The following is a 12850-nucleotide window of genomic DNA, read 5'->3' as shown; positions in this document are numbered from 1 at the left end:
AGAAAAGAAGGGGAGGTAAGTAAACTTTACTGCATGCCACTTGTGTGATGGGAATTTTCATGTATACTATCTCTTTATTCAAACAACTCTTTGAGATAGGAACAATTATGCTTACCCTCCTCATGTTTAAAGGGGAGAAAACTAAAGCTCAGAAATAGAAGTAAATTCAGCTAGAACTGGTAGAACAGGGACCCATATCTAAGACTACATCACTTTAAAAACCAATGCTTTCATCATAAAATTGCTGTTCCTCATAGTTCAATATGTTAAGGGTATTTACCATATATGTGTGTATCACAAAAGCACTTCTTTCTTAAGTTTTAATTGAAATGATTTTTCTACCCTTTGAGTTTGCATAAAGCTCATAGAGTTATTTTTCCTAATTATATTACACATACTTGTTCACAGAATGACTGTACTTCTTATTTTGGCAACAGTCTCAATTTCTGATAATTTCATTCTTTTCAAATATGTATACCTAAAATTGATCAATTTGCATTGCACCATAGAACATTAATTTAAAGAAATTCATAAATTAACAAAATCCCCTGTTGAATTGTTCAGATTGGTATTGGATTTGGAAACAAGTTGCACACAGCTATATACATGAGCATGCATATATTAAATGCTGTGATTCTATCACATGTCTGCATGTAACTAAGCAATAATTGCAAAGTCCATCTGTTTTAAATGATGTCAAATGGTATTCAGCACACTAATCATTAAGAAGTGACAAGATGTGAAATGTGCTTTGTGTTTCCAAAGTAAGTAAAGGGCTGTTTTGAACTTAATATATGGTGCATGCACTACCTTCTCTTCTAGTTTCTTTATAATCAATGGAGAAAATCTAACACGTAAAGCTTTGGCTCCGTGCACACTTTTCCTTCCCCATATTCCGTATTCCATCTCAGTTCTGCTCACACTATCCAGGACCTCCCTCCACAAATATTTTCTCAGGTTTGCCTCAGATAACCTCATTGCTGACTCAGATTTTTGGATACGTACATTATATATTAAGAATGAACCTCTTGTTCCAAGACCTTTAAGCCCTATATTTAAAAGAATAAGTAAATAACAGCCATTTAGAATGAGTCTTTTAAATTACAAAAGGAATTCTCACTGGTTTTCTAGTTCTGATCATCTAAACTGAAAGTGACATCCACGATATCATCCAGAATCCTGTGAAAAGTCTGATTTCAAGAGTGAATACCTATAAGTATCTATTATATGCCAGGTAGTATGTTCTAAGCTGTGCAGTTCCATTTTACCTATGGAGGCAACAAAGATCGTATGCTTTCTATATGTATTGCATCATACTAGGTGCTATGGAGTATTAGAAAACTATAGAAAAATATTATTTCATCTGAAAAAACTTTTCAGTTAGTTACTTGAGGGAGAAGAGATTTAACATAGATTAAAAAGTGATCGTCAACTACTGGGAACTTCTTCCAGAAGGGAAATCTAAATTGGCTCTTCATAGACAGAAGGTTGGAGAGGAAACTCAAAGGTAAGTTGAATGTGGCTGGTGTGAAAGAGAATGGCCAGCTGAAACACAAGGCCACTGAGAACTGTTGAGAGATGGTTTTACATAGATTTTATGACACCAGGATCTTCTCAGACCAGAATGGGTTAGTGGAAATAGTACAGGCTTTAGAAACAAACCAGTTTAAACCATTGCTCTGCTACTCAATATCTAATAACAGCATCAGGTAAATTATTTAACCTCTTTAAACCTGAAGTGCCTCATTTGTAAAATGGAGATAATAAGATTGTCTACCCCACCTTATTATTGTAAGAGATTAAATGACACAATCTGTTACAAATTGGTATGTCAATTTGTCTGCTCATAATTGTCAGATTATTTTGGCAAACAATGGCTGTGACAATAACAGGCAGGTGGGGTTGTGAATTTGCTCCCCAACAATCTTACTTGAGGAAGGGATTTTTTGATGAGAGCAAGTCTCAGAAAGAATTCTGCCACTTGTACAAACATTTATTATCAAATACATCCCAAATAGTCATGCAGCCTATTCCCAGAAACTTGGTGATTTCTCCCTCTCTATCCTTTTAGTTGTTTCAATAAGCACCTTGCATGCAATCCTTACTCTGAGGTGCACACAGGTTCAGGAAATTATCCAGTAAGATAAGATGGGCCGGGCACGGTAGCTCACGCCTGTAATCCCAGCACTTTGGGAGGCTGAGGTGGGAGGATCACGAGGTCAGGAGTTCGAGACCAGCCTGGCCAATATGGTGAAACCCCGTCTCTACTAAAAATACAAAAAAATTAGCCGGGCATGGTGGCGGGCATCTGTAGTCCCAGCTACTCGAGAGGCTGAGGTGAGAGAATGGCGTGAACCCGGGAGGTGGACTTTGCAGTGAGTTGAGATCATGTCACTGCACTCCAGCCTAGGGGACAGAGCGAGACTCCATCTCAAAAAATAAAAAATAAAAAAAAATAAGATGACAGAGACCTCCATTAACTAGAGGAGAAAGATGATCAAATAGAATTCTAGACCTAGTTATGCCAAAGATGTTAGGCTACTGGGCTTGTCAATGTCATCTGCTTTATTCATGAAAGAGTAGACTTGTCTTATAATGTTTCTTGTCAACTACACATCTTGAATATCATTTATTTCACCAAGGAATTATTTCTGGCATCCTTATGCTAATCAGCAAACCCTCTGATGTAGACATGGATAGTGCTACTAAGCACTTGCACTGTTATATCTAGAGTGTGGACTCCTGGATGCACCCCTACAAATATGAACTAATCATACTATGCTGTGATTTCCTGATCTCTGTTTCTGCCCCAAAATATGAGCTCCAGGAAGGCTTTTAAAATGTGTTTTATATACCACTGCATTCAAAATACAAAAAGCAATGCCAGTCACATAATTGGTGCTCAATAAATATTAGGCAAGTGAATGAACAAATTAGTAAATGAAGAAATGTATCACCCTCAGGGTTTAAATTAAGGCTAATATAATGCATTTATATGCATGTATTACTAATATATATTAGAGTAAGTTACAAGTAATATAGCATGTAAAGCATCTGACACATTGTATACATTGCTTTTCCCTCCTAATACAAACTCATTAAGTATCTCATTCTTCTCTGCAACTTCTAAAACAGAGGCTTGAACAAATTAGATATCAGTTATATTAAATTAGGATAAATGCATAGTTTTATGCATTCATTTTCCTCATAAGTAAATTGGAGATAATACTTCCCATTCTATCTACCTTATTGGACTGTTGTGATATTCAGAACACAATGAATGTGACAAAAATGTATAAAGTGCTATAACATAAGACAATATTGCAAAATATAAACCGTGAAATATGTACATCAGAACTATCTGAATTACTTTGAAAATATTGAGTCCCGGGACTCTCCTCAAGGTTTTCTAATTCATAGCGTGGCAAAGATACCTGAAAATTTGCCTTTTAATAAAATCTCCAGATAATTCTTTTTCACTTTTTAAATTTTTAAAATATTTTTATGTTCCTTTTTTTGGTCCCTGGGTGCTTCATAAACTTTTTTTTTTTTTTTTTTGAGACAGAGTCTTGCTCTGTCACCCAGGCTAGTGTGCAATGGCGCAATCACGGCTCACTGCAACCTCTGCCCCCAGGGTTCTAGGGATTCTCCTATCTCAGCCTCCCAAGTAGCTGAGATTAGAGGCGCCCACCACCACACCTGGCTAATTTTTTTGTATTTTTAGTAGAGACAGGATTTTGCCATGTTGTCCAGGCTGATGTTGAACTCCTGACCTCAGGTGATCCACCTGCCTCGGCCTCCCAAAGTGCTAGGATTACAGGCATGAGCCACCACACCCAGCCACATAATTTTTTAAATTGTCCTAAGAGATAAAAAGGGAGATGGTAGTGGTGTTTGCAGTGAGGATGATGACAAGGTGAACCACAACAATGACTGGAAGAGGAGCTCCATGAGACAAAGGAAAGACAATGACTTTTTGCTTGCCATTGTAACCTTGGCACCTGTTCTATAATCAGTGATCAATATATGGCTTTTGAATGATTTGATGGTGATGATGCTGTCTTTGAAACTCTCTTTGTGACACCCAACACAGTGAAGGTGACTTGTTCTTTGAGACAACAGATGCAGGTCAAGCATGTGAATTTCTGTCTGTGTCTTGCCAAAAGGAAGAGGATTTCCTTCTTGTGTTTTCTTCCTCTTCCATTTGAACAATGTCCACAAACTAGGAGAAGGTATATAAACACATAGATTGTGTTTGCACACCCAGCTCTGGGTTGATAGTGGCCACATTTCCTGCCTTATGAAACTGTCAGAATCTCTGTTGTCAAAGTTCTCTTTGTTCCCCAAGTACAATTCATTAACCTTCCCCAGAGCTGAGAAGGATGCCCAGGGGCCTCGCCCTATATTGTTGGCCTTTGGCTGTCTCCTTCCAATCACTTCCCACAGTAGTTCAGAAAAGGCAAGGAGGAGTTCCTTGGATATTGTGCATAAGGTTGATGGCTTGAAGAGGTGGCTAATTGCCTGAAGACAGGCTTGATTATTTTTACCAACACAAAAAGAGATCAAGTGATCCAGGAAGCTCTTATCCTGGCTTATAACATAGGCAGGAAACAGTTACAAGATTGTTGATTGTTACAAAAAAATGATCCCCCCACCATCTCAACACACACACATATGCATATATGTTACTGTGTGTCAACTTCCAGTGTGGAGCAGCTGGGAGTTCCTTGGGCTTGGCTTTGGGTAAGTGTTCCAACTCATTACCCAAATGAAAGGCCCGTGAAGCCACCTGCTCTCTTGTGTTAAGCCTTCCCCAGAAGACAGCATTGGACTAGAGGGCAGAGGGGTGACTGGGAACAAAAGGGATAAATTCTGGGTCCTGAAGGGGCAATGGACCTCTTGATTGTTATTACCACCTGCCATCCCCACTGTTTTCCTGTTAGATCAACTTCTTTCCATATCTCTATCTAGGCAAACTGGCAAGTCAATATGGTTCAAATGAGAGAAGAAAGCATACAAAACGCCACCCAAATTGAAGTCCTCACCATTTGATTGTCTATAATTTTCCAGGCTTTCCTGCAATGAGTTGTTAGCAGGACCCTGGCCTTATCTTTTAGGGAGTTTGGTAATCTCGGCTCAATCTCACGATTGATGGAAATCCAAAGTTCTTCCTTGCTTTTTATTTATTTCTGGGGGCTATACCGTCTCATGATTACCTCCTGCCTGAATCTTCTCTCTGTATTATCCTAAATCAAAGTGGTTCTAAAAATAAGCTTCAATGAAAGTTTCCATAAAAAACACACTCATGTTGAGATCATATAAATTTAGAACTAATTATTGAAGATTAGAAAGTCCCAGGGAAGTTCATATTACAGAATTTGTTGCACTTTGCCATTCATCTCCTCTTTTCTGCTCTTAGCCAGTCTCTGCTGCCCTTTACCTCACCCCAGGACTGAGCCTGGTGGCACCAAACTTCTTTCCCTAGAATATACAGAAACAACCCAGCTTTCCACAGGCCCTGCCACCTTGCAATCCTGTGGATGTTCAGAGCAGAAAAACTCTAGTGTGAGTACCTCCTTGGAAGGCTGCTTTGGTCATCAATTATAACATTATCTTCATTGTTATTTCTTTGCTTTCTAACCCTTATAACAATACTGAACGTAAGGTGAAGAAACATGACCAGAGAGGTGGAGCTAGCTGTCCCAGGTCATGTTACTGATAAGTGGTGGAACTGGGATTTAAATTTATGTTTCTCTGATTCTGAAGCCCATGTTCTTTCTATTCTGCCATATCACATGCAGGCACAAGGTTGGGGAGAAAGCCGGAGAGATGATGAGAAAAGCTTTATTGAAGGTAAAATCTACAGTTCCCATTAATGGCAGGACCCAAAACTGTTGATAATATGTCCTGCAATGCAAGCTGATCTCTGTAAGGAGGAGACATCTGCCTAAGACAGCTCTGTCCCTCCCTCTATGCCTTAGTCTCTTATTGCTGTAGCCAATAACCACAAACTTAGTGGCTTAAAATAACAAAAGTTTATTATCTCACAGTTCAGAAGGCCAGACTCCCAAGATGGATTTTACTGGGTTAAGATGTTGTTTAAAAATTGGTATGTTTCTTAAAATAAAAAAGAATTACACTTAGTCTAATATATATATATATATATATACACACACACACACACATATATATACACACACATATATATATATACATGTTGAGAATAATATTATTTTTTCGTTTAATTATCAATTGCCATCATATTCCACAAACATTTATTGAACATTGACTACACATCGATCACTGTGTTTAGCACAAAGGTACTAAGATAAGAAGACATTACCTCTGTCCTCAAGAATCTCATAAACTAGCATCAAAAATTTTATTACAAGAATATGAACAAAGTGCTATGGCCAGGTGAAGTGGCTCATACCTGTAATCCCAGCACTTTGAGAGGCCGAGGCAGGCAGGTCACCTGAGGTTGGGAGTTCAAGACCAGCCTGACCAACATGGAGAAAACCCGTCTCTACTAAAAATACAAAATTAGCCAGGCATGGTGGCACATGCTTGTAATCCCAGCTACTCGGGAGGCTGAGGCAGGATAATCGCTTGAATCTGGGAGGCAGAGGTTGTGGTGAGCTGAGATCGCACCATTGCACTCCAGCCAGGGCAACAAGAGCGAAGCTCTGTCTCAAAAATACAAAACAAAACAAAAAAACACCTTTTAATAGAGCTGTGTGTGAATGCCGGGTATATGAGCGTATAACAGTGCTGTGTGTTTGCAATTTTGGCACTGGCTGCCTTTCTCTATTACACTTTCATGTAGCAATTGTTCATTCATTGCCAGCCACTTGTACTGGCTCTGGAGATAAAATAGTGAGCAAAATAAACAAGGTCCTTGCCTTCATGTTTCTTACTTTCAAATCAGAGCATAGTAGCAAACCAGAAAGCAAATAAGAAAGATAATCACGGACCAGCACTATGAAGCGCCTCTGAGAGGTGGACAACAATAGACTCAGTGATTAGGGGAAGTTTCTCTTTATTTCAATTAAGCAGAAGCCTAAAGGATGACAAAATTTAAGAAGTCTTTTCTAGGGACTTTGCTGAAGAGGGTATTTGGGGATGACAGTAATCTTCCTGCAGAGGGTCATAAGAATGAACCCAGCCATCCTCTGGGACCACAAAATTCCCTGAGTTGTGCTTCCCTTTCTGGGACAGATAAAAAGCAAAATAATAATCACATGCTGTTACTATCTACTCTCCTAGCCTCTGATGAGCCAGGGAAATGATGTACAACTTTGGATCATTAACAGTGTACTCATTTTCTACTGCTGCATAATAATAAATAACCACAAGCATAGTGGTTTAAAGCAACAGCCATTTATTATCTCGTAGTTCTGTAGGTCAGGAGTCCAGGCAGATCTACCCAGTTTCTCTGCTTACTGTGCCACAAGGACGAAATCAAGGTATCACCTGGGATGTGGTCTCCTCTCGAGCTAAGAGTCCCTTGTAGCTCTCATAGCTGTTGGAAGAATTCAGTTCCTTGAAGCTGTAGGAATGAGGTTCCCATTTTGTGGCTCCCTGCAAGCCAGGGACTATTCTCAGTTTCTGGAGACTACTTCAGTTCCTTGCCATGCAGCTTCCTCTTAAGTGCAGCTTCTCACATTTCAAATCTATCTAACTCCAGGAAGGGCCCAGTCCCTTATAAAGCTCACTGATTATGTCAAGCCCACCTTGATAATCACTCTTTAGGTTAACACAAAGTCAACTGATTAGTAACCTAACTATGAGAGTAATAACCCATCACATGAAAGATTCTACCTGTGTTCATGGGGAAGAGGTTATAAAGGCTCTGAACAAGAGGGACAGGGATTTTGGGGACATCTTAGAATTCTGCCCACCACAACCAGTGAATATCCAGGCTGACCTGGGAGACCAGCCTCACATTTATCTGGCTGGTGAGATCAGGTTTCTCTGTATTAGCTTTCCTCGAGGTGAAGCCATTCATGGCACAAACTGCCTAATTATGTCAGTTTCACTAGACTTATATGTTAATAAAGACTAATGTTGAGTGTTTACCATATGCCAGAAATCATCTTAAGAGTTTTAAACCAATCTAATCTTTACAACAGTCCTTTAAAACACTATACATATTTTCATTTTACAGTTGAGAAAACTAAGGAAGTCATCCGAAAAAAAAGATGAGTAATTTGTCAGAAGTCACACATATTCAGGAGCAGGTTGGAATTCAAACAGTTTCCTCTCAGCATGCTGTCATGTGATAGTAGATCCCTCAGTTTCCCTCTCTGGGTCTAAGAAAAGCTGCATGACCTCAAATTTTACTAAAACCCACCCAAGCTGGCATTTCTAATAAACCATGACTCTGGTAACTAGTTAATAATGCTTTCACTGACCTAAGATAGTCCAAACAAAATGAAAAGGTTTGAGTAACTAAATTGCTCACTCTCTATATGGGGGAAAGGTAACTTCCTCAGATTCTTGTGAACGAATCATTATATTTTTGTGTACCAATTCCCAGTCTCTTAAGTGTTTCTCAAATACTTCAGTGACTATGCCACAAACCATAAATGAAGTTTTTAAAACTCTCCTTTACTCAAAATTTTCAGATGAAATAAAAAATAATATAAAAAGGGTTCATATGGGTCACCAAGAACAATACAAAATAATTATTTTTTAATTATTTATCTTTAACCAAAATTTCATAATTGTTTCTCCTTTTAACCAGAATTTATGAGTTATTGTTTAGTAGATGGTGTCCAGGTGGAGGGTGTCCAGGTTCCTAGCACCTTGAACAAAGAATTGGACAAAATGCATAAACAAAGCAAGGAAAGAATGAAGCAATAAAAGCAGAGATTGAAAAGGGAAACACACTCCACAGGGTAGGAGTGGCCCAAGCAAGAGGCTCAAGGGCCCAATTACAGAGTTTTCTGAGGTTTAAATACTCTCTAGAGGTGTCCCATTGATGTCCTATTGGTTACTTTGTGTACCCCCTATGTAAATGAAGTAGTGGCCCATAATCAGTCTGATTGGTTGAGGTAGGGAACCAATCAGAGCCCGAAGCAAAGTTACAAAGTTACACCATATGCAAACGTCTGATTGGTCGTGAAAAACGACCAATCAGAGGCTAACCTGAAGTTACAAAGTTATACTCCTATACAAAGGAAGACTTGGCCCGCAGCCAGCCTGATTGGTTGTGGGAAGGGACCAATCAGAGGTACTTTTAGTTTTTCATCTGTCGCACAGAAAACTGGGGGTTGCAAAGGGAGTAGCCTCTGGTTCTTTTGTTACTTGGGCATGGAAAGTTGAGGTTTTCCTTTTGCTTTAGTTCTAGGAAGTAAGTTTGAATCAGCCTGAGGTTGCCTGCCTTCAGAACTTATTCTGCCTCATTATTACATGTACGACTTCCATTCCATCAACCAGAAGGATAAAAACATTTTTGTATTGAGTACCAAGCTTTTAATCAGACACATTTCTATAAAACACTTCTTAAACTTTGGAAAGGGGTCATGTAATGACTGATCTTTAGATAAGAGACACAATAAAAAAATGCTCTTTGAAATTTTAGTTTAAAATCTGTTCATCTAACTACTGAAATGTTTTTCTTTTTTATTCACTGGAAAAAAAGAATGAAGGCAATGTGGTTTGTGGATTTAGCACCTCTCTGAAGATAACTTTATTTAAACTGAGAATAAATGACTCGTTTATTGATTATATATTCATACACATTTTCTACTTTCCCTTCTCTTTGACCAGTTATGTAAATTTGGTTAGTCTTCTGACCTCTGTGGATCATGATGTTTTACAAGTTGACCATCGCAAAACGGTCTACCATGTGCCTTTTATATTGTGTCCCAAATTTTGATCTGTCTGTTGAATTTCTTTTATTTTGTCATAAGAATATACCCTGCGACACTGATGTCTGCCAGAGAGAAAGCTGAGGTTACAGGGTAATGCATCACAGTGTAAAGCTGTGTACAGTTGAAATAACAGGTAAAATGAATGGCATAATATAAAACCAGCCCCTCCCTAGGAAAAGTGTATTTTTAATAGAACATACCAGAAATTTCTGTGGCAAGTTTAGAAGTTTATAAGCATGGTCAAAGTAGCAAACAGTACTTTAATGCAGTTTTTAAGCATGATCAACTATCTATAGGACAATAACTGTTAATACTTTTTATAGACATTGTGGAACATGCTTACACTACATAAGTGACTATATTGTAATTACTGATGGCTTATTTCATGTTATTTTGAATCCTGCATAATTGGGATTTCTCTAGATAAAAGCTTCCTAATTTTTAAACTGCAACCCTTCATCCTGTCCAATTTTCTGAAATCTGCTTTTTTTAAAAAATATACTTGTACCCATGTTTGTATTCCTTCACGTGTATTGCCAATATTTTAATATTCACTTTGAATCATGGTTTGGCCATTTGTAAAATAAAAGAATTAAACTAGATAGTAAAGTTCATCTGCGCCACATTTTAGAAATTGAAAGTACATTGTGGGTGAGACTCTTAAGTTTCTTACCATCACTTTAACTGGGAGAACCTGGTTTTATCTATGTCTTATCATGGGGTTTTGGATTCTTTAAAAATGCTTTCATTTGCAACTAACAGAAAATCCCACTCAAACTGGGTGAAGCATAAAAGATAATCTATGTATTTACTTAACTAAGAAGGCCAGAGGCAACTAGCTTAGGAAACAGCTTGATCCAGCAGGTTAACTATATTTACATTAGAGGCTCATTTCTTTATATTTCTCATGGATCTGCCTTCTGTGCTAGCTTTGGCCTCAGGCTAGAACTGCTAATGGTAGCAGCCATGGCTCCTGGCAGTTCCAGCCTTCACATCTTCATCATCTCAACCAGTGAAGCTGTTCTAGTCCAGTAGTTCCAGGCAATTCTTTGAGGATCAATCTGGTTGAATCAGCAGAGATCACTTGCCTACCCTAAAGCAATCATGGTTCCAGAGAAATACAACCTGATGCATGGCTTAAACCAATTACTGACCCAAATTAGAGCTGGTGGTTGGGGTCAATCCTACATACTATATGTGAAAAGGGTAGTTTCTCAAATAAAATTTAGGTATATTTTATCAAAGAGACAAAATACCAAGGAATACATGCCTACCTATGGTACATTGAAAATATTGTCTGAAAAAAGATTTTCATTACTAAAGACAAGTTTGGAAGCTCTAGAGAAGACCATCCCTAAGCTTTTCCAATTCTACTTTTCTGATTCAGTGCTTGCATCTGAAAATAGGTCTGCAAGTCCCAAATATAGGATTAGCTGCTGAAACCCACTTGATTGTCATGGTGATGGGAATGGCATCAGCTAATCTCCCAGCAGGCAATCAATAAATGCATACAGGTACCTTCTCTGTATAAGGGCATAATGAAGAGAGTCTGGTTGGAGAGTCAGGTGAGCTACCTTTAAGAAGTATTGCAAATTCAGTATCTTCTTTCAAGGCCCCATGTCTTTTCTTGACGTTGTTCCTTTAATCTGAAAAGCTTTCTTCTCCTTCATCCTCAAAGCCAAGTTCAGAAGTCATCCCCTGTGATAGACCACCATCCATCATCTAGAATTACAACTTCTTTTTAAAGTTCCTAGTATAATACCAAGATCAGCCCTTAACACTGATAGTGTCTTTGGTCTTCCGCTTTCCCACTGGGACAAATTTTTAACCCTCAATTTCTACATTTGTAAAATGGGGATAATAATGCTTCTTTAGAGTGACTGTAAGAATACATGAGTAAAAGCACTGGAAATGCTTCATAAATATTTGGCATTCTAACTATCTCACACATGCAAATTCTATCCCTATAAGAAGGTTAAAATGAAATAAGTTTGTAACATGAGCAAGGGTGAGGTCTTGACTCAGCATTTGAACCAGACACATACATAACTGTTCCTGAAGAAACAAATTCCTGAATACTTCCATATGCCACAGTTGAGCCATGGCACTGATCACTAACCACCTGGGATTAACACTGCCTTGCAGATAGATTCCAGCATTCCCAGGCCTGTTCAGTGCCTGCCACACATCTGCATTTCTCATGTGGAGTATTTTCTTTGAAATATGGGTTCCCACTGAGAGGAAAAACATCTTCCCTTTGTTGGATGTGCAGAAGCAGGATTTGGATGGCTGTCCCCTAAGGATATACTAGAAGGATCCTTGCATTGGTGACAACATTATGGCAACGTTAGATGTTACTGTTATTCCAGGGCCCTAAATGAGTAGGTTTTTCTTTTCCTTTTCTTATCTTTTAAAAAAATCTCTTATTTTTCCAGACTTTAGGGAGTTACTTAATCCTAGTTCTTCAGTTTTCTCACCTGTATAGGGAAAATAAATTCTGGTCTCCATTTTATTTCCCCATTAAGAGATGATAACACATGAGGTAATAGAAGATTTGTGTTTTGAAATACTTGGAAGCAAAATTGAAAATAAGTCTATGGTTTTACCTTAGCATATGCATAATTCATATGCCTAAGCAGCACATATATTCCAAATATAGTTGAACCTTTCTCTGTAAAACACCCAACCCTCCTAGGGATCACATTAAATCATTTCAGGCTTCTTTGACTAGGATCACAATTTGACACAGTAAAAAATGAAAAATGAAAACAAATGTAAAATGAGAAAAAAGTAAACAACGAAAAATAAGAACAAAACATCTTTTTCTTTGCTTTTTTCCACTTTTTACATTCAAGGCAGAAGCTGCTGATTTGAAGAATGTTTATGTAAAATTTTGAATGCTGCCTCTCATAGTCTCCTGTGGTGGATCCCCTCCAACTACAGAACATTCAGCAGTTTTGGTTCCCTGATGA

General features: G+C 38.2%; 1 long non-coding RNA gene across 1 annotated transcript in view, besides 1 other annotated feature; it reads right to left on the bottom strand.

Moving 5' to 3' along the window:
• The window catches only part of CASC21 (cancer susceptibility 21), a 147995-nt gene that overhangs the window by 110762 nt on the left and 24383 nt on the right, over positions 1-12850 (bottom strand). The window lies entirely within an intron of this gene.
• Positions 12778-12847: an enhancer, noted in NCBI's record as "active region_27938". NCBI's record gives its function as "activates an Ori minimal core promoter by ATAC-STARR-seq in GM12878 lymphoblastoid cells {active_cell/tissue: GM12878}" and the evidence as "EXISTENCE:reporter gene assay evidence [ECO:0000049][PMID:35858748]".

The sequence above is a fragment of the Homo sapiens genome, chromosome 8 (genome assembly GCF_000001405.40).
Source record: "Homo sapiens chromosome 8, GRCh38.p14 Primary Assembly".
Taxonomy (NCBI): Eukaryota; Metazoa; Chordata; class Mammalia; order Primates; family Hominidae; genus Homo; species Homo sapiens.
Note: the sequence above shows the minus strand (reverse complement) of the source record. Positions and strands in the feature narration are given on the sequence as shown.